This window comes from Homo sapiens, chromosome 10 (genome assembly GCF_000001405.40).
Source record: "Homo sapiens chromosome 10, GRCh38.p14 Primary Assembly".
Classification (NCBI taxonomy): Eukaryota; Metazoa; Chordata; class Mammalia; order Primates; family Hominidae; genus Homo; species Homo sapiens.
The window spans coordinates 125,007,190-125,029,010 of NC_000010.11; the positions used below are offsets into that span (position 1 = coordinate 125,007,190).

At 52.9% G+C, this 21,821-nt stretch overlaps 1 protein-coding gene across 28 annotated transcripts in view, besides 2 other annotated features; it reads right to left on the reverse strand.

Moving 5' to 3' along the window:
- The window catches only part of CTBP2 (C-terminal binding protein 2), a 178,147-nt gene that overhangs the window by 22,873 nt on the left and 133,453 nt on the right, over window positions 1-21,821 (reverse strand). The window contains exon 1 of one of the 28 annotated variants that reach the window (NM_022802.3): window positions 18,893-20,882. The exons of the other annotated variants lie outside the window; for them this stretch is intronic. Coding sequence (NP_073713.2) covers window positions 18,893-20,570 — 1,678 coding nt within the window. The 5' untranslated portion in view covers window positions 20,571-20,882. Of the gene's footprint in view, window positions 1-18,892; window positions 20,883-21,821 lie in introns of those variants that run through there. 28 annotated transcript variants of the gene reach the window in all.
- Window positions 663-1,168: an enhancer, noted in NCBI's record as "H3K27ac-H3K4me1 hESC enhancer chr10:126696421-126696926 (GRCh37/hg19 assembly coordinates)". NCBI's record gives its function as "activates a minimal SCP1, AML or CMV promoter by ChIP-STARR-seq in primed H9 embryonic stem cells {active_cell/tissue: H9 hESC(primed)}" and the evidence as "EXISTENCE:reporter gene assay evidence [ECO:0000049][PMID:30033119]".
- Window positions 19,639-20,181: an enhancer, noted in NCBI's record as "H3K27ac-H3K4me1 hESC enhancer chr10:126715397-126715939 (GRCh37/hg19 assembly coordinates)". NCBI's record gives its function as "activates a minimal SCP1, AML or CMV promoter by ChIP-STARR-seq in naive H9 embryonic stem cells {active_cell/tissue: H9 hESC(naive)}" and the evidence as "EXISTENCE:reporter gene assay evidence [ECO:0000049][PMID:30033119]".

Consider the following 21,821-nt stretch of genomic DNA (forward strand, 5'->3'; position numbering starts at 1 on the left):
CTGTTGACAGCTTGCCCACATTAACTGTGTAGAGCAGAAAGCCCTGCCGGCTCCCCTGGTATCAATTACTATCTGGTTTCAGGCTTGCGTGTGCACCAGGACGGCCCTGCCCCTCCGTCCGGGATGTGCTGTGCACCAGCTCAAGGCAGTGCTGACGCCCATCCCTGGGCCTGGTATTGCTTAGAGCTGCAGCTGCAATAAATACTTGTGAAATGAGAGATGCTCAGTCAAAAACAAAGACAACACCAGGCCAAACTGCTGGACTTTTGTGAACAGTAACCAGACACCCAGGAAAAGCAAAGTGCGTGGATCTCACAGATCCTAAGGCAGGTAGATCTCAGGGAGGATGGCGGAAGGATCCGGAGCTGGAAAACGCTACATTTCATTGTGGGGAGCTGCTGCTTTCTCGGATACAGGCAGACAGGCCTGGAGTTGACCTTCTGGCTCAGTACCATGCAAGGCAAATGGGATGTTCCCCTGAGCAGTCACCAAGAAGGAACTGGATTGATCCTGCCACACAAAGCTGCCTGCAGTGTTTCTGAGACCCATTTTCCAGTCTTCCTAGACACTGTGTGAGCTAAGCCGACATCCTTCCAACAGAAATTCTCATTATTTAAAAATGATCTAAATGGGTTTCTGTTGCTTACAGCACAAGACAACCTGCCCCAGGGTAAAGGGTTTCAGGATTTGAGGCTTCTACCCCAAAGCAAAGCAGCTGCAAATGATCATTTCTGACATAGGAGGCAAAGGCTGGCTCTGGCTTTTTTTTTTTTGGAGACAGAGTTTCACTTTTGTTGCCCAGGCTGGAATGCAGTGGCACGATCTCCGCTCACTGCAACCTCCACCTCCCAGGTTCAAGTGATTCTCCTGCCTTAGCCTCCCAAATAGCTGAGACTACAGGCATGTGCCACCATGCCTGGCTAATTTTGTATTTTTAGCAGAGACAGGGTTTCGCGATGTTGGCCAGGCTGGCTTCGAACCCCTGACCTCAGGTGATCCACCTGCCTCGGTCTCCCAAAATGCTGGGATTACAGGCAATAAGCCACCGTGCCTGGCCGGCTCTGGCCTCTTTTTTTAAAACGCACTAGATTTTATGGAAGTTTCCTGACACCGTAGCAGTCTCAAGACACCAGTGCCTGAGTCACTCCCTGTTCCTGACAGGGGCTACGGCTGCCCAAGGACAGACACTGGCCACATACCCCAGGGTTGCCCCATGAAGTCCCTGCAGGTTGCAGTCTTAGAGCTGACCGAGCTATCACATTCATGAGAAGAACCGCTGCTCAGAGTCACAGTAGTGGCCTTGCAGGAGGGAGCCTCTGTGGAATGAGGGCAGTTGCTGGAATTTGCCGGGTGCCGTCACCAGCTGCCCTAACACAGATGTTGTAAGAAGTACCTGGATCCTTCCACAGACGGGAGATCCAGGCAGGTCTTCCAAAGATCCCGACAGAAGGTGTCAGAGTGCTGCAAGCAGCTCCGAGCTGTACAGAGTAAAGCAGAGGTTCCTCTTCAAAGACTTTCCTCCCCGTCTAATTAGGAATAAATACTAACTTCTCTTAGAGGCAAAATTTATTCAAAGATCTGTGCTAACATTCTTAAATATTTGCTAGCCGTAATAAGGAAATCAATGTACGTTATGTTCTTAGCTCCCGCAATTTAGCCTAAATATTTGCCTTAGCATGCTTATACTGGTCCAAGCAAGCATTAGGTCATAGCCTGTTCCTCTTCCTTATTTGAAGGTGTTTTTACCTTTCTCAACATTCCACAAGTTACTTCCTCCTTCCTTTGTTCCCCTCTACCTTTGCCTCTTTAAAAAAGTTCTAAGTTGCTAGCCAATCGGGACAAATAGAGAATGTGAGGTCCCTTTCCAGCCAACGGAAACTGGACACAGCGGTAGGGTGGACGTGTCAGGTTATAAATGACCCTGTGTCCTTTGTTGGGTGAACTCTCGTGGGAAAACTGCTGGAGAGTGTACCCTTTCTGCAGAAAGTAAAAATGGCCTTACTAAGTAAATTAAATTTATGTTCAAGTGCTATTTCTTTATGGCACCGGGGAACGAGCATTCCAAACAGAGCCAAGCGATTCACGGCTTCATCAGCCCCTGTGACCTGCAGGTGGCCTGGGAGGCAGGAGGAGCCTAAGCAGCCGGTGTGGCTCCCAGCCTCATGCACAATGATCCAGGAAGAAAGAGGAGACAAAACCACACAAACTCCAGAGGCCGGGGCGGGACAGGGAGTGACCCAACACAGCCGAACCTGAGGCCCCGCCTGCCTCCAAGGAAGCCCCACTTAATATCCCACCGATCCCACCACCCTCAGAAAAGCTTCCTCTTAAATGCGGCCTGCTCCCCAATTAAGTGGCCGCTTTCTGCAATCCAGCATGACCCGATCCCCACTGGCTGAGCTCAGCAGACCTGATTTCTAGAAAGCCAGACACAGAATCAGAACTAAGGCCTGCTAACAGTGTTATTTCAGAGGCTTGGGTTTCTACAACATAAAACTGAAAATCGTGACAGGGCCAAGCTGGGGGCCAGATTCTGATGCTGGGACGTACGCAAGTGCCTCTCAGACACTTGGCGTTAGACTTGTAAACACAGCTGCCTCAGTGGGTCTACAGGCCAGCCCAGCACACAGGGCTGTGGAGCTCTGAGTGGGGGAAGGCGGTCTGTGGGAGCCTCGTGTTGTCAAGGTAAGAGATGTCTCCCTTGCTTTGTAAACATGTTTAACCATGTTATAAAAGCTGTTCTAAACCGTCAGACGTGGGATCTAAACAACAACAAATGTTCTGCAGTTGGCTGATCTGGAAAGTGAGCAAGCCACGGTGACTCCCCCTCCTTGTGTCCCCAGCAGCCGGGAAGGTGCCTGTTCCCACGGCAGCTGCAGAGAAGACTGCGGGCAACAGGCATCTCCCCTCTGCCTTTCACGAGAAGGACCACAGGAGCAGGGTGCTGATGAGCGGGTGGCTCCGGGAGCAGCTTCAAGGCATAATTTGGAAGAAAATCTGTGTTGCTAAGAGTGGCACTATTTTAAGGTTAAAAAAAAAAAAAAAAAAAAAAAGCAACTGCTATTGGAAATCTCAGCTTTGTTTCTACGTTGTTATCTGCTTTTTCATTTGGCAAATGGGCTTTCTCTCTGTGTTGCTTCTGGGAAGCTCTCCCAATGCTGCGTCCACTTCTTTGCCCAGCTTCCCAGAGGCTGCGATTTCATTTTACAGTCTCAGTAATGTATAGGTAGTATGTGCTCCCCCAGAATGGAGAACCCAATCCTTGAGTTTTAAGTATCACCTGACACGCCCAACAGATTCCCTGGCTCATGTGCACACTCCTCCTCCCACCATGCAATGCAAATGCGCAACCCTTATCTCTCTTTCTGCATTCATGGCAGACATCACTAATCGATCCCCACATTCTTCCTGAAGCCAGGACCTCAGCCCTGGAGTGGCATCACACACACCAAGCTGTTGAAGACCTGGCCCAGCTGAAAATGATTTAACTCAACCTTGGACAAGGACTGGCCTGAACCAGGCACTGGAAGACAGCATGAGGAGAGAATGAGAGAGCAGCGTGGTACAAAATGAGTGCCGGGGAATTTAAAGCATGAAGCACACCTTCTAAACTTAGAAAGCGGTGATGGCTGTGCCATCACCGTGTACATCCTTAGCAGCTATAGGGATTATCCTTATTTTTCCTCCAGTGAGGTACAACCAGGTAGGAAAAAGCTCACAATCTGCAGCATATTCAGCCAGCCCACTCCTCACACTAAAAACGCCAGGATCTTAATCTTCCAAAGTTGGGCTCTTACTTGTGAACAATTTAAAAGGGTTTATGGCAAAGGTTTCATGTGAATTATCCCTCAAGTTCCCCCTGCTTTTCTGTAAGGAGGGAAAAAATCGAGTGTTGGGAAATCTAGCTTCACCAAGGCCTCTGAGCACCCAGGGGCTGTGCTGTTTGGGGTGCCCCACACCAAGTGGGCTCCCCAGAAGGCTGGATGTGCCCCATGGGGAACCTAGTTTTAAGCTACTCCTCGGCTTCTGAGTTTGGCATTCTCTGCAAAGTCAGCTGGAGGTTTGGTGAAGAAATGGCCACAGGAACACCCTGATAAATAGATTTGCTTCTTAAATAAAACATGTATCTGAATGAGTCACGATGTGACACATGAGAGGCTCCCAGGTAATCTCCCTTGTAGCTCAGGTGACAGCTGGACACAGAGCTGGCGAGGCAGGAGGCTCCAGGTACCCCTGTCTTTATCCAGCCAGTCAGGTGCAGTCTGATGCTCCCCAGAGCCTGGGCCATGTTCTCAGGCCCCCAAAAGCTTTCTGGGTGATCATGTTAATAACGAAGAGCATGTGTGGTATCTTCCAGGGTTGGAAAGAGATGTCCAGACCCACACCATCAAGTTCAGAAAAAACACAAAATACAAACCCCCCTGAAAACGAAGCTCATCTGCAACCCTAGAAAGACAAGCACGTGCAGTCACTTCAACGGGTTCCTCAGAGCCCCTGGGGAAGCTGCAGCCCGCACCCTGCAGTGTCCGCGCTATGCGGAACGGAGGAGCACAGCGGGCCCAGAACACAGGAAAGTGACAGCTATTTCCCGGTTTGTAATGGAGTTTAAAATAAAAACAAAACCAAGAGTGATGTTAGGTGCTTGAAAGTGTTTTTAGGCACTGGTGGCTTTTTGGAAGCCCAGACACCGTCCTGTTGGCTGCCTCTGGTGTTGAGTGTTCAGGCTCCGTCACCTTCACCTAACCCCGGGTGCAGCTCATGTTCTGGGGTGAATTTTTGCCCTGAGGGAGCAGGTGCCATCCACCCGGGGCAGATCCAACAACCCCACCCAGCCTGTGTGAATGCAGACACTGCTGACTCACTGGGCCTGAAAGATCCGTGAAGGGACATCACCAAAAACGGCGCCTTAGAAGGCATTCCCACAGCGAAGCAGCCAAGGACGTGAGGCTCTGCTTCTATTTCTGGTGAGACGCGCTACGTGTGCGAGATTTCCCCAGTGGCCCAGCCTCACATGGGTGGTCCCTGGGCTCCGGGAGGGAGGACAGGATGTGGGGGATAGAAGCCGGAGCAACATCCAAGCCTGAGGAGCAAGGAATAAGGATTGTGGCTCCCACTGGGTGAGGCTCTGCGACATACCCTCCTGCTTCCCAACACGGGGACGGTCCCTGCAGGGACGGGTGGTCAGGATCTCATGCACAGGATAGGGACACTCTCAGCCACCACTGTGGCTGGGGACACACATCGTCTGAGTCCCCTGTCCAATAAACAGTTCTGGTGGAATCTTCCAGGAGGACTGCTTGTTCTCTTCCTGCCGGCACGCCAAGGTCAGATGCGCCCTGGGGTTCTCACTCCCCCACCTGCCTGTGCCTCTGCATACCCCACTCGTGTGGCCGATCCTCCAAGCCTCTGTGGAAGAGATGAGCCTCAGGGCATCGCCAAAGACTAAAAATTGTTGTTGTTGTTGTTTTGAGATGGAGTCTCACGCTGTTGTCCAGGCTGGAGTGCAGTGGCGCGATCTCGGCTCACTGCAACCTCCGCCTCCTGGGCTCACGTGATTCTCCTGCCTCAGCCTTCCAGATGGGGTTTCACCAAGTTGGCCAAGCAGGTCTCAAACTTCTGAACTCAGGTGATCCGCCCGCCTCGGCCTCCCAAAGTGCTGGGATTACAGGCATGAGCCACCGCGCCCGGCCAAAAGAAGCACAAACCTGCCAAGGACAAAAAGGGGCTCCCATATGACTATCTGTTCACCCTGGTGAACTCAGTCGTCAAAACCAGGACTGGCTGGTCCACCTAACTCATTCCTCCTTGGGAGGTGCCCACCTCGCCTCTCCAAGCTGCCAGCCAGCAGCAAAGAATGCTATGACTATGGCGATGGGCCTTCTGTCTCGAGGGTGGCAGCTGCCAGCATGTGGTTCCAGCCCACAGCTCCTAAACTATGAGATTCTCAGTTCAAAGGCCCAAGCTCCGAGTTGTGAGGTGGTCTGGAGCCTGTTGGAAAGACCACCAAGAATGCCCACCATCTGCTCAGCCTCACCTGTAATGAAAACCAGCTGCCTGTAGCCAAGGGGCCGCCTGGGATACCCCTACTTTACATATCCCATGTGGGCAGGGTGCATTCTGTGCCACAGTAATTAGACACAGACTAGACTTTCCCAGGATGTGCCTGGAAGCTGGGGAAATACCTGAGACTGGAAACGCCCGAAGTTGTAAAATAGTCTCGTGCGGGCACCGCTGCCGTCAGCCTCTTTTACTTAATTGGTTTTCAATACTTTATTGCAGCAATAAAATCACCTATGCACCAAGAACCCAAACACACAGGGAGTCAAGTTTCTGGTAACAAAGGGATGGTAAACAGTTAGCTCCTTATACCATATGCTGAGCATCATGACCATGGAATACAGCCTGTCCCATTTAGAAGGATGGTCACGGCCACTTCTCTTGCACCCTCCACACAACCCTGTGCCGTAGGCGCTGCTGTTTCCCCAGCAGGTAACGGAGGCGGGGGGAACTTGCCCGGGGTCACACAGCAAGTAAGTGATGGAGTCAGGACTCAAACTCAGGTCTCTCTGACACCAGAGACCAAGCATGCAACCCCAGGGTCCACCGCAGTGCAAACCACCTGCTGGATTGGTTCAACTCAACAAGCTCTGGACACTGGAAAGACAGACATCATCAGGCCTGGCCCTAGGAAACAGACAGGTGATCTTGCCTCGGCAGGCTGAGGTAGGTCTTAAAGTTCTCTCTCTTTTACTGCAGGAATGTGATTGTTCGATCTATCAACCAGGCACACAAAATCAAGAACCAAGGGCCTGAGGCTTCTCACGTGAGGCATGCGCTCTTCCCACCCGGGTGTCTCTCTAGATCTTGCAGCCTAAAAGAGACGTCATCATGGTAACTGTTATCAGAACGGCGGAGAACAGAAGGGCACATCCAAGCAAGACCGAGACGCCACAGGATAGTAACACGTGTGTGCTGGCCCCACTCCCCAAGCTGGATGCAGGGACACACGGTCCTCCTCACGGTGTCCTATTGGCCCAGCAGGCATTCATGGCCCCGGTGATAAGAAACCTTGTCCTAACCTGGACGACACAGTGAAATCCCATCTCTACAAAATTTACTGGGCGTGGTGCCACGTGCCTGTAGTCCCAGCTACTTAGGAGGCTGAGGCAGGTGGATCCCTTGAGCCCAGGAGTTCAAGGCTGCAGTGAGCTATGAGTGTGCCACTGCACTTCAGCCTGGGTGACAGAGTGAGACTTGGCTCTAAAAAATTAACTGAAAAAACAAACACCTGATCCAAGAAATGGATCTATGTCAACTTGGCCCTTAACACTGGCCTCTAAGAGGGTTAATGCAAGATTCAATGCACACGAGGTTGACCTTCCTTACGGGGAGCAACCTCTTGGCGGCCTCCTGGCAAATGGCCCAAATGCCCTGTGCCTCAGATGCCTGAGCCCGTAGGCCTCTGGCCAGGCAGAACTTGCCGAGACGGGAACACCAGCCCTCCAGAAAGCACTGACTTGGAAGGAAGCACTTCCCCTAAAGTCTCGGGAAGAATGAGTTTGGGGAGCTGAGTTTCACCCAGTTCTGAGCCGTGGTGGACAAGACCAGTGACCACGGCTGCTCAGAATCCAGGCTCTCCAGGTTGAGCCACCAGCAGCCGCCTTGGCCGGCAGGGACGCCCTTCTGTCCTTTTCAGCAATAACCAGAGAGAAGGGCCAATCATCAGATCTCACCTCCAAGCGAATAAAAACCAAGAAAAGTGAGCGTTCGTCAACCCAAGCTCCCCGTACCAGGCAGTTTTCCTAGAAGATACTCTGCGGTGTGGAGGATGTTTACCAGCTACCACACATCTGCTTCCTTGGGTAGAGGAAAAAAATGTGCTCCACGTTCCTCGACATTAGGTCTGAGTGACCGGAGCCCGAGGGAGCTTCATAGCGCAGTAATGGGGAAACCTGCGTGGTCAGTCCCGCTGTGATTGTTTGGAGACTCACTTCTCAGGCAGCGGATTCACGCTGCTGGACAACCAGCCAGTGAGGTGGGAAAACCCGCTTGCCAGCAAGTGACCAACACAAAAGAAAAAACTAGTCATCCCCACCCAAGCAAGGCCATTAGCTTCTCTTCGAGTCCTGCACTGTCCCCAGAAGAGCCATGGCCCAGATGGAAAAGAAGCACTGCTGGTTTTCATATCAATGCAAAAAATCAGTGACAACCCCACAGGCCACAAGCAGGAAACGTGACGTCTGTTTTTGAAACAGAGCCTTTGCTGTGCGGTCCCTGGTGTGGCCTGGCCATCCTCCCCTGCCTCGCTGGGGCCACAGCCGGGCTCCCAGGGCTCCCTCCGTCCACTCCCGGTCTTGCAGTTGGGAGGGCGTCCCGGAAGCCCATGCAGCCCAAACCCTAGAGGACTCCCTCTGGCTCGAGGCTGAGGAGGGATGGGCTGGCCTCAGTGCTCCCCGAAGCACTTCCAAGAAGGCGCCTCGCCCGCCCGCTGTGTGGATACCGCTGGTGGAGGTGTTGGGTGAACAGCTCTCAAGTTCTAAAAATGTGCCCCTGACAACAACAGAAGGGGATGTTTGAGAAAAATAAGGGAAAATAGAGAAGAGAAAAGTACGAATTGTTGCCAGAGGAATCTGGCAGAGCGGCCAGCTGCTGCACACTCACTCGCCGGCCGCACAAGAGGCTGGGTGCTGGGCTGGCAGCGTGTCCAGTGTGGACACACACGGGGCTGGGTGAGATTCTGCAGGAATCTAAAAAGGCCACAGGCAACCCAGAGATGGATGGCTCAGTCTGACTTCTCACTGTGTGAAAGTTTGAGAACGCCTACTGTGCGCTGGGTACCCGGATCCCTGCACCTCACAAAAAGGCTCTGGCACCACCCGGGGTGACGGGGAAGGGGATGGTCAGGGTGCAGTGAGACTGGGGTCTGGGACCCTTTGGTGGGTCCCGATCAGGCTGAGGAAGGCCATGAGGCCCCGCCCACCCTTCCCAGTGCCCCAAGGGACTTTTCCTCCAAGGTACAGGAAGTAGCAGCAACCAGGAGGGCAAACGCCCTGGATGTTCCATGAACCTGCAGCGAGCCGAGTGCCACTGCCAAGTTCCAGGGGCCACCACTGAGTCACTGCCCGAGGGGATGGCTGCCCATGAGTGCCGGGACCAGGAGCCCTCTGGATGGCCGCCCTGGCTGCTGGCTTGTCCCTTGGAATCAGATGGACCAATTCCACCAGTGTTCCAGAGAAATGAACAACACGTCCTCCCGCAAAAGGACCCTGAGTAGCCTGTAGCCTGGCAGACCCAGTCTTAATTTTCTCACCTTATTTCCCAGGGTGAATGTCCACAAAAGCAAAATAACACCCTCCTCCTTAGCTATGGCAGCCAAGGCTGAGATGGGAGAGGGAGAAGCCTCATGCTTGCAGCACACTCTCGTTTTTCGAGTGGTCCTAAAACCCAAGAGGAAAGTGATCCGCGAGGACTGCTGTCCGGCAGGCCAAGGGCCAAGAGCGCTGCGCCCAGGCCCAGCTCACAGCCAGGAAGTGAACATTCTCAGCACAACAGCTGGCTGGATGCCGCCTCCACTCTTCTTTCTTCTCTAACTTTTTCTTAAAATCTAGTAACTTCTACAGCATCCCAGGCTCAGAGCCCAGTTTACAGGAAAACACTAGAACCCATCACAAAGGCATATTTATTCCTTCATATAAAAAGCATCTAATAGGCAAATCCCCAGTGGGGAAACGTGTTGGGTTGAGAGGCCAGAGGTCAGCTCTAAGCACTGTGGATGGAAGGGGAATGGACTGGCCTGCGCTGGGCAGTTGGTGCCAACATTCAGTTCCGCAGGCAGAGCTTCCTTCCACCACGAAAAATCCCTTAATGCAATCCCTTAATGAGGCAGGGCCAGAAGAGGAGGTAGGAACCCCGGGGGAAGTCAGCGCCAAAGAACAGCTGACTGTATCCAGCCAAAGTGCAAGAAGAGCTTAACAACTTCAACCAGGATGAGGCCCTGGTGAAATCAGAAGGTGACACGCAGGAGGCTGTCGACGGGTAGCGGAGGAAGGTGCAGGCTGAGGAGCAGGGAGGTAATGCCAGAAAGCAAACTGCAAACCAGCGCTGATGCCGCTTCTTTGGAGAGGCGATAAAGGCAGGAGAAACTCACCTCTGCTTCTGAGCAACGGGTTCATCGGTCCCATCTTACATGCAGTGTGATTCTTCTATGTGATCAGTTTCCCTCTTTCTTTGGTTGCTAGGAAGCTCAGAGCAGAATTCCCACCTATCCTTGTGTACAGGATTGCACGGGATGCTGTGTTCCGGCCCTACCACCCTCCCTCACCTTTTCCTACATTTACTTTTCCATTTATTAAAACTTTACCCTTGTGTGTGTTACAGCTGTTCCCAACAGCCAGCTTAAATCCTCTTATGACCAAAGAACATTTTACATTCCATTTAATCACACAAAAGAATGGCATTTGCTCTTCACTGGGAGAATTAATTCCCTGAACTCTCCCAGGCAGCAGCATGATCCAGGGCAAGGAGTTTGGCCCCGCAGTCGGAGCAGCTCAGATGCAGCATGGTCTTGAGGGCAGCAGCTGGAGCCAGGCAAACACCAGCAGGTGCTCGTGGAGCCAGCTGGGGACCCTGAGCTTGCCATGCACACAGCTCCGGTGTGATGCGGTTCTCAGAGCCGTGGGGGGCAGGTAGGGTGGGCACCATCACCCCAGTGTTACCCATGGGAAGCGAGCCTCAGAGCCCATCATGATGACTGCTGCTCCAGAGCCCGTCATGACTCTTGCTCCAGAGCCCAGCCACTTTGTCCTGTTTCCTCTTGCTGACACAGACCTTGGCTTCCAGCTCGGACTGGTGTCTCCTCCCCAAGTGTATACCATTGTTGATTTTCCCTTGCTGTGCTAATGCACCGTGCCTGAGGATCATCATGGCATGGGCCACCCCCTGCTGTGGGACTCAGGGTAGGGGGTGAACCTCTCTGAGTCTGTCAGAGGAAAAATGTCCAGAGTCTTCCTGGGATTTCAGATGGGGGATCATCCTTGTCAAATGCTCCACAATAGGCCAGGTGCAGTGGCTCACGCCTGTAATCCCAACACTTTGGGAGGCTGAGGCGGGGGGATCACCTGAGGTCAGGAGTTTGAGACCAGCCTGGCCAACATGGAGAAATCCCATCTCTACTAATACAAAAATTAACCAGGTATGGTAGTGGGCACCTGTGGTCTCAGCTTCTTGGGAAGCAGAGGTTGCAGTGAGCCGAGATTGTTCCACTGCACTCCAGCCTGGGTGACAGAGCAAGACTCTGTCTCAAAAAAACAAAAACAAACCAAAAACCAAAAACCAAAAAAAGCACCAGACCAAACCAAACCAACCAACAAACAAACAAACAAACAAACAAACAAACAAACTCCACAATAGTGACAATTACTAATATTTACTGAACTCAGTCAGGGCCCTAGATTCTCTCAAGGCTGGTTTCCCCTACCTCGGCCCTGGCAAAGGGGCAAGAGGCACATTCCATGGGCCACCTGGGGTAGGTGCACCCCACCAGCCCTGCGGAGGCACCGTGTTCATATCTAGCTGGTATTGCAGGACGCGCTCCCCGCCAACGCCACTGGCATCCCACACAACTGCATTGGGGGACCAGGAATCAGGGTTCCTACTCTTGCCCCTTCTGGTGAAGCACACCCAGGGTGCTAACTCAGCCACAGGCTGCCCCATGTCCCATTGACATTTGCAAACCCTCCTGGGATGAATTTCTCCATGGCTCTCAGGAGAACATGTCCCAGGGGGCCGCCCACTCTGTCAGTGGGGACGGGTGTTTCTAGGTTGGATTTTTTGCTCTCCTAACAATTTGGCAAAAGTTGTTTTATTCACATGCTGAAAGCTGCTGTTGGGCTAAATTTAACTACAGTGTACCTTCCTGTTCCTTCAGCAGTTCCTCCCTCCCACTGGAGGGGGCAAGAAAAGTGAACGAAGGCTAGTTTTTTTATCCTTTATGTAAAAAACAACTAGAAAGCCCTTTGTTGAAGCCAGCCTCAGAGTGGGAAACACACACCTGACAACTGCACGTTTAATCACACTCGTTTCTACATCGCTAACGTGGGCTAATTAGTTATGGATTACAAGTACTATTTCTCTTTCATAAACTTACCAAAAAAACCTCTCCCACGTATGAGCAAGGAATCTGTGAAAAAGCTTTAGAATTCTGGCTTCGTATGTTCTTGGGGGTAAATAAATTTGTGCCAAACACCTGAAAAGCTTTCCTGTTAATATATGTTGGCTTTCTCACTTAAAAAAAAAAACCACGTCTTTCTTCCTTAGAATGTTAGTTTCCAAATGCAAGAAGTCTGGCGTGAAGCTCTAATTTTGCTCTACCCAGCCCAGCTCTCCACAGCTCAGCTTCTGCAAAGCACAAAGCAAACACTGGGACAACTGGCTGAATGGGACCCCTACCTCACACCATATGCAGAACTTTACTCAAAGCAGATCAAGACCTCAATGTCAGAGCTAAAACTAACATTCCTGGAGGACAACATAAGAATATATCTTCATGACCCTCGATTAAGCAATGGTTTCTTAGATGTCACACCAACGGCATAAGCAAATACGTAAGACTCCAAATTAAAACTTTCATGCTTCAAGGACACTATCAAGAAATTGAAAAAACAACCACAGAATGGGGGAGAACTATTTCCAAACTGTGTGCCTGACACCAAAAAGCCTGGGCCCCATGACCCAGGAAGACCCTCAACTCAAGCACTGAGGTTGACAGAGCTGAAATGTGACTTGTGGAGCCCCAGGATGGACACTGGACACTCAAGAGCAAAGGCCACATTTGAAAGTAGAGTTAAAGCAAAATAGCGTAGGGGCCCATTGGTTGTTTTTATGGCCAGGTGAACATGGGGCCACTCACCTGGTCTGTGGAATCTGCTCAGGTACTTATGCCCTTGGCTCCGCAAACCTTCCAGGAAAATAGGAACCATACCTTGGCCAAGATCAACAGCTTTTAAAGATTTCAGAGGAGCAACAATCCCTGGAGGGGTTTAGGAGGCCCTGAGCTTGGCCATGCACAGAGTTCCAGGTGTGATGTGGTTCTCACAGCACTGGGTGGGGGTTGGGGGGATGGGATGGGGACAGCACAGCCACACAAAACTATTATCTAGAAACTGAAGCTATGGCCCCATGACCTGCTTCCTGGAAAGCAGAGGGTCCGCTGGCCAAGACCTCCCTACTCCATGTGGAACTGCTTTCTAAACCAGGAAGACAGAACGCCCCTGTAGACATGAGGAGGTCAGTCAACGCGGGCCTTGTGGAGACAGACAGAAGAGGGTCTGGTGACTGGAACGCGGGCAGAGCTGGCCAAGGTCCCAGCAGCAGTCTTGGCTGACATGGCCTCCCATGAAAACACGGGTCAATCCCTTTAAACCAACAGCAAGCGCCGACCTCATTCACCACCTGCTCTGAGTCCTGCACCACGCCCGGCAGAAATCATTTGTCGACCTCTTCCCCCTTGGAGCTCTCCAGATGCGGCGAGGAGCCCAGCCTGTTACGCACAAGGCCTGAGACTCACGACCCCAGCCAGCTGACACCAAGCATCCACGTTACTCTCTGGCCAGACTCCTGGTCAGATCACCCACCCACCAGTGTGGAGGGGGTCTGCGCTGTCGAGGGGGACACACTCTATGCAAGGTGGGCTTACAGAAATTCCCAGATACTCACTTTTGAAAAAAGGCCCACTAAGCTTTAACAAGACAGAGGCCTAGGAGAGCAGTCTTTGCACAAAACTGAGGACCACAGCAGGGCCTTCTTCAGCAGCTTGGCCGCTGTCTAGTTGTCCCGGCATGGCTCACCCCACGTCCTCCATGGACAGAATGAAATCCACACCCACGGGGTCAGAGGAAGTGCTGTGAAGGCGGCAGAGCTGGGGGACAAGTTTGGCCCCTGAGACCCCGAGGGCCTCAGTAGTCCAGTGTGAGAAGAGGCCAAGGGTCAACCACGACAAGAAAAGCGCCATTCCCCGCTGAGGCCAGGCAGCTCCAACCTCAACACACAAGCCCTCTCTTCCTTCTCTGCTCACTGCTCTCCCAGAAGCAGAGGAAACAGGTTCAAGACCTACCCCCTTTGACAGACATGGAAATAGAAGCACAGAGAACTCAACATACTTGCCCAAACACAAAGCAGGTGGCACTCCTTCGGGCCATGCATTCAACTACTTTATGCTCCTGGGCTGAAATCATATTCCTGGGGTCTACGGCACGTCCAGGAGCCTGAAAGGGGACCAAGAAACCCAGTCTAGCCTAGCAGAATGAGCTCCATGAACAAAGGGTGAGGCCAGGTTCAGGCACTCGCTGAGTTCAGTCTGGTAAGGGGGCACAACCAAGATGCGAATACTTCAGGGCAGCAACGGGCAGGAGGGATGATCACTGCTGTTCTGCCATGAAGGCGGAGGGTGATCTGGCGAGGTCACAAGAAGGGCTGGGAGTCTCAGGAGGTCAGGCATCAGTCACAACCAGGGCCTCAGAGGCACAGAGGCCAGTAGCAGGTGACTTGCCCAGGGGCACACTGAATGCAGGGAACACCGGGCCATGAAACCCAATGACTGATCAAGTACAAAAGCCAAACGGAAGGCCCGCAGAGCTCACTGATGTCGGGTGTGTTCAATGTTTTGCTAGAAAAGGCTGAGCTGTCAGCACCTGGGAACCGTTCAGCTGCTCTTGGATTTGGAAGGGAGGCCATGCCGAGGTTCTTGCTCTACCAGGCTGGGGTAGGGGCAGAGTCCTGGCTATGTGGCTCCACAATGCTGGAATGTTTTTACTACGCAGGCATAGATTACTCTGCAAGAAAAGAGACGCCACAGGGAGTCTCAAAACACCAGTCAGGCCCTTAGCTGCCCTTGCACACGACAGCTCACGCACACACTTCCATCTGCCCCACGCCGGCCTGGGCGGTGGCCTCTCCCCTGGCCCCAGTCTGGCTGCGGTGCTGAGCTCTGCCCTTCTCCTGCTTCCCTGCCGGTGCACACACATGCGCTGTAGGGACGCTCTTCCAAGCATAGGAGTGGCCAAGAAGCCCTGGAGCTCCAGGTGCTCCACAGGCCCCATCTTGGTGCCTGCTATACATAGTCACAGTTAACTGTCCTTTTATGAATTGCCTTTCCTGGCCCCCAGACCAGAGAGCACCTAAACACAAGCCTTGGGTCTTGCCCACCTGGGAGCCCCAAACATCTGGCCACAGGCCTGGCACATAGCAGGGGACAGGTCAATGAGGAAGGATGGAAAGAAGGAAGAACAGCAGGGGTACAGGTCAATGAGGAAGGAAGGAAGGAACAGCAGGGGACAGGTCAATGAGGAAGGAAGGAAGAAGTGAACAAGCCTCTAAGCTCACGCTGGGCTCTGCCCAGGGCAGTGGTCTGTGTCCAGGACTCAGGGGTCCTGGGGGCAGCCCGGAAGAGGTTTCCTTGCTCCCTTACAACTCTCTCTGGCTGGACTGCATGGCCAGCACACAGGAAGGGCTGGACTCATCCCTCTGCTGGTCTGCAGGGCCAGCCTGGGGTCACAGCCCCTGGACCTCACCCCCAAATGTCCTTGTGCTCTGAGATGGGGGAAGCCTGCCGAAGGTTTAAGGGTCAAGACCCTCAAGAGCAGTGCGTCCTCTGCCCCAGGACAGACCTCAAGGTGCAGAGGAGTCTCAAACAAGAGGCAAGGCTGCTTGAGGACTCAGCAGCAGGGGTGTGGGCCGATGGCGGCGACCCTCTATACAGATTCTGATAGGGCTAAAATTATTGATGGAGGTGCTTTCTACCTAGGAGATCAGCGTTCACACCTCCAGTTGCTGGAAACCGAGGCCACACGAAAAGAAGCCATGAGAGTGACCAGCTCTGGTGACAGGTAACTGTCACAACCATCAGCCTCCTCAACAGCCCCTCCACACAGACCACGCGCTCCTCCCTCCATCCTGGAGTCCTCAGGCAGTGACCCTAAGCAACTAGACAGGGGTCACATGTGCCCCCATTAATCCAGTTGCATCAAGAAAAACGGCTGGAAGAAAATGGAAAAAGCTCAGAAAGATCTTTTTGTGGCTCTTTGGGCTGGGACTGCGTTTCTCACATCTGAAACTTTGCCCCCAGGGTGTGTCCTGAGCTGAGCCCTGTGCAGGCTGCAGGCTTGGCTGTATTTTGTGAAGACAAAGATATGAAAATGGCCGCAGCCCCATTCGTTCGTTGTTTCTGATGATCCCTGCTGCATCTGGTGCAGGCAGGGCTCGGGTGACAGCACGTGACACGGGGAGATTGCTGGCTCGCAGCCACCGCCGGAGGGCTCCGCGACTTGTGCCATAGCCGGCCAGGTCAGCCTGAGAGCGACAGCCGACCCCACCACCTGCCAGGTGCTGCCACTCACGCGGGCCTGGAGCCCCCATTTGTCTGTGTCACCGGGGCTGGTGGGCCGCACTGGGGTCCCCGCAGCATACGCCTTCCTCACGTTGTCACTCTGGACTGCTTGGCCAGCAAACTGGACTAGAAATAGGAGCCTATTGTGTGTATGCACAAAACCCACCAAGATAAGGCAGGTAGTTCGTGGACTGAGAAAAAGCAAACATACATTAAAAATAGCCAAAGCATCCGAAAATAAAATAGATACTGAAAACAATCCCCAAACCCCAAACCACCCCACTATAAGCAGTGCAACACCGCCCATCCCGAAGGGGAGAAGAGAGTCAACTTCCAGAAGGGCGTTCCTTGTCCCTCCGATGGGAGGGAAGCACTTGAGTTAGGCGGCACCAGAACGAAGATGCGTTCAGGCTGGCGGCGTCCCAAACAAGCAACACTGGATTTCCAGATGGCCGCGTCCTGGACCAGAGGCCGGCGGGACTGCCCAGCCTGTGCTTTCCTGAAATGTCAACATTATCCTCCACACACACACCGTCTACTTTCCCTGCTGGCTCCGACAGATCCAAATGTGACTGCGGATTCTGTGGAACCTACTGTACAAAACGTACAGCCATGTACACAGCTGAAGCGCTACCAGGGACGCCAGCCCCTGCCCCCTTCCCGACAGGGTGTGGGGGATAATGCCACAATCAGCATACGATAAGGAATGAGGAGGGAAACTGCAGCTATGGGGTGGATCATTTAACAGAGACATTTGATTTGCTGGCTGGCTTCTGCCTGCAGACTTCCCTGGCACTGGCTCGCTGCCACGCAAATTAAGTAAAAATCAATATCCTCCGGTCTGTAAAACATCGTGTTAGCAATCACACTGCAAACAACTTATATAATACCCCTCACTCCATACCCAAATAATGGCGAATGTTTTTGTTAAAAGGCAAGTCTAAAATAAACAGGAAAAAGAAAAGAAAAGAAAAGGCAATCTTACAGGTTCCTCCTTCGGCAAAACCTTTCCACGACTTGGGTGAGGAGATAATCTTTCTGTGATTATGACCAAACCCTCCTGTCACTTAGCAACACATAATTAAGGAATATGTTTTCAGATCCGCTTTGCAAGCCCGGCCATTATCAGATGAAATTACTGGAGCAACAAATGTCATCGCCATGCAAATCAGTTGGTTGCAAAGAAAGAATGTTTGACTGAGAGAGCAGGCACAGGCCCTCGGAAAAATTATCTGACGTCCCTCCTGCCGCACATGTATTTGAGAAAGTCAAATAATGATGTGATCAGACTTCAAAAAAATCCATGAGACAAAATCAGAATCTATACGACAAAGCAGAAAATCAGGCCAGTTGCTCAGTCTCCACTTGGAAACAAAATGCAAAATGCCTGGAGGTCATCTCTAGGAGGTAATATTAATAGCACACACGGGCCACACAGCGATGGCAGAGAAACTTAAGGTGGTCTCTGCAGGGTTGTGAGGTCCAGCGCCTCGGTCCCCGCCTACAGCTGCTTCAGGGCTATTTTCAAAAAGGTAGATCTTATTGTTTCATCCTGATTTTCACAAGCTATTCAGGAAAAAAAAAAATCATTTGAAAAGGATTCTGTTTTCTGAATGACGTAGGGGAGGCTGGCGGGGAGGAAAGAATTATGTTTGAAAGGAAGAAAACTGATTTACATTTTAAATTTGTGGTCAAGACTCTAGAGTTAAAATAAAAATTGTAAATGGTGCTCTGAGGACGCCCACCTAGGACTTCATCCACAATGTCCAAGGAAACACACGCCATAAATCACACCTGGCACATGTTGTGAAGAAAACCACCTACCATCACTCTCCCTTTCCTGGACTTGGAAATATATCCTTCCCTTCAAGCACGCGGAATTCCCAACTGTATTTTCTGATATGAGAGACTAAATCTGTTTTTGAAACTGAGTTCTGAGGGATTTCAACATCTTGCTTTGTTTAACCCACAAGTATGCAAACACACACATTTTCATCTCCACGGTGGGTAATCACTGCCTCTGATACGGCGTGCGGACCCGTGAGAGGTACGTTTCCACACGATCACGCCCTTCTAAATGGAGGATGCACACTTTACAGCCAGCATTTGATGAAACGTTCCTGCCTTCTCCAAAGTTCCCTAGTGTGAACTACAGAAAGGGCCACCCCTCGTGAGCTCAAGGCTGCAGTCTGTTCTGAGTGACTTGCGACTTTCTCCAAGAAACACAGTTGAGTTTTACCACCGTAATGGGAAATCTACACATCAACCCGACCTCAACTAAAGAACAGGAGGGCACTGCTGCCCCAGCAGATCTGGCCTGACACACAAATCTGATTAACTTAAGAGAAGCCGTGTCAACTGGCCACAGTGCTGCGTCCTTCTTGTTTGGTGGTGTGTGTGTGTGTGGCCTGGTGAGTGAGGACTTGCCATCCTATGTTCAAACTTCTACAACCCCGCACCCCCCTGCTCCCCCCAGGTCCCCAGGCAGGGCAGGCGGGGAGGATGTATTACTTGGTTCTGGTGCAAGCATGGTGGACACGATGATGGGTGCCCCTGTGCGCCGGGCCACCTTCTGGTACGGTGAGTGAGGCGTGTGGAGGCTCTGGCTGGCCGGCGGCAGGGTGGATGGCCCCAGGGGTGCACCTGGCTTCCGCAAGACCTGGGGGCTGCCGTGAGGGCTGGGCAGCGGAGAGGCGGCCACGTTGCGCTCCCTCTTTAGCAGCTCCATGGGCACCGTGTATGCCGTGGAGTAGGCTGTTCTGGGGCCTGGGTGAAGGGGGTTTGAGGGGCCCGGGTTAGTCAAGGCCACCCCTGCCTGCAGGGGGTACGTGGGGCTCAGACGCGCTGTCAGGGCGCAAGGGGTGGGAGAGCTGTACCCGGAGTTGGAGGGGAAGTGTGGGGCATGGGTGCCCACGCCAGGGGCAGAATAGGTGGCTGCCGTCTCCAGGAGGTGCTGAGATGGTGCGCTGGAGGGACGGCGAGCCGGGTCTCCAGCTCGGGGGGATGCTGTCTGCAGAGGAGCCGCAGCGCCCAGAGAAGCCAAGTCACCATGGAGCAGTTCGCTTCGGTGGCTGAAGCTGCTGGACCGCGCCCGGGGCAGCGGGCCCCCCCGGTCCTGCCTCCGCAGCTGCATTTCGGTCCTGCAGCTATTGGCCAGGCGGCTCAGAACACGGGCCTGGCCCAGGTTGGGTGCGACAGACTTGATATCCGCGTCCTCCAGGGTAGCCAGGACGGCCGGGGAGTCAAAGCCCTGCTGCAGTAGGGCTCCCAGCGTGGCCTCTGCCAGCCCCTCCGCCCGCAGAAAGGCCAGGAACTCAGGGAGCACGGTCCTCTTGCCACCAGGACCCTGGAAGGTGGACAGGTCAGCTTCGTAAGTCTCGTAAGCCATCTTGGATGGGATGCTTTCCCGGGCAGGCCCGTAGCCACGATTCAGGGCCCCTGGGGCCACCCCTGTGCTGCCTTCGGGGGCAGCAGCTGAACTGGGGTCCACAACCAGGCACGTCGGGGCCACCTGTCTGGCAGGGGCAGGGTCAATGGGTCTTTCGCTGATGTCGCTGAAGACCTGGCTGAGGGGGTAGGCAGGCACCTCCGCCCCATACCTGGTGTCGGGCTGCTCCCGTCCATACCGCCCGGGAGATGCAGCCCTGCTCTGTGTCTGCCGCCCCTGAGGGATCATTTTACCTCCAGGATCCCGGTACAGGTGACCGGCGTCCTGCAGGGCAGGTGACCGGCCTTGCATTGGATCCCATGACGTTCTGCTGCCAAGCACTCCGTAGCTGGGGACCGGCCGGCTGACTCCTGGGTCCCGATAGAGGGGAGGCTCTTTGGGTACCCTAGCAGCTCCAGACGGATCACTGTAGTACTCCCGTGGCAGCAGGGGGCTGCGACCAGACATCACTGCCTGTCTGCTGTCGTAGAAGGTGAAGTCAGGAGTAGACCCCTTTCTTGCAGCCACTGAGTTATAAACGGCCTCCCGGTACAGGTAGGGCTCGGCGGCCACGGGCAGGGCAGCGTCCTGTGGTCGGTGGTTTGGCTCAAACCAAGTCCCCTCTGCTGTGCCATACGTCAGGGAGCTTCTCCTCCCCAGAGGCCGCAGGGACTCGGCGTTCTCCCAGGGGCCCTCGTACCACCCAGCAGCATCCCAGCTCTGAGAACGACCAATATTTATATGCCTGCTGGGAACTGGCATTGGAAAAAAAATGACTGCGGATGAGGCAGAGGAGAAGCTTTTCTTTATAAATCTTCAATTACATACATCAAAAACAGACCTGGCTGTGTGCTAACCCTTCCGAGACGGCAGGGACAACCAACTGGGGGTTTTCTGTTTCAAAGCATGGCCTGAATTATTAATCCTCCGAAACCTTAGCAGACAAAACATAAGACTCACGGTAACTTTGCCTCACTCCCCAACGATAGCCAGAGAGGTCTGTTCCTTACAGCTCAGTCCCGGAGAGGAGGCTGTCCCCAGCCTGCCAGGTCCCCCTTCCTGGCTGGTGTGCTCACATGGACCAGGGCTCTCTCAGCATGCGGATTAGGAGCTAAATAAAACCCTAAAGCTTTGTTCCATGTGACATCTCGTTAGACTGATGAAGCCGGTGGCTTGCTCTATCCAGCCCTCCCAAGCTGCAACTGGGATTTACTTCCACACTGACGCTCAGGTTTATACTCCCTCTTCCAAGCACCAGGGTACTTTTAGGATGAACCCTGCCTCCCCCTCTGGAAGGGGCTGTTCCCACCCCTGCCACTGATTCCTGAGAGGTAACAGAAGCAAAATAAGGCTGCTTCAATGTCAGTCCACTCTTAATCCACCGTGATGAAACGTTAATCCATGGCACAGCTAAACACAAATTAAACATGGATAAACAGAAAAAGGTCCACACGTGATCCTAGGCCATGGATGCCTAGCCCAAAAAAGGGCCAGCTCTGAAACCTGATGCTTTGATAATACTGAGATCTGGCTTTGAGACGACTCTTTGGTTGTGAATCAAACAGGTTTCCGAGCTCAAGCCCAAATGCATTCTTTACCTTATTACTGTGAAACACAGATGGGCTCATGCTGCCGGGGGGCCGGGGAGTGCCAGGGAAGGGCGTGTGTAATCTGGGATTTAAAGTGACTGCAACAGAGGTCACAGGAACAGGAGGATGGGTGACTAAACCTTACACTGCAAAGCAGAACTGGGAAGCGGCTGCATCTGAATATCTCATCTTCCTTTAGGTATGTCAGGATGAAAAGCCTAATTCCAGCAGGCTTAGATCCTGCAGATGCTTTTCCATATTCACATGGATTAAGCTTTCAGAGTCCACAAAGGACTTCAGGCGCAATAATGCAAAGAACAGCAGTTATTTAGATAAAGGAGTGCCCCGAAGTATTAAGACATTTCCTTAAACATATGGAACAGTACCAGAGAAGCAACATCCCAGACTAACACGGTAGGTTCCT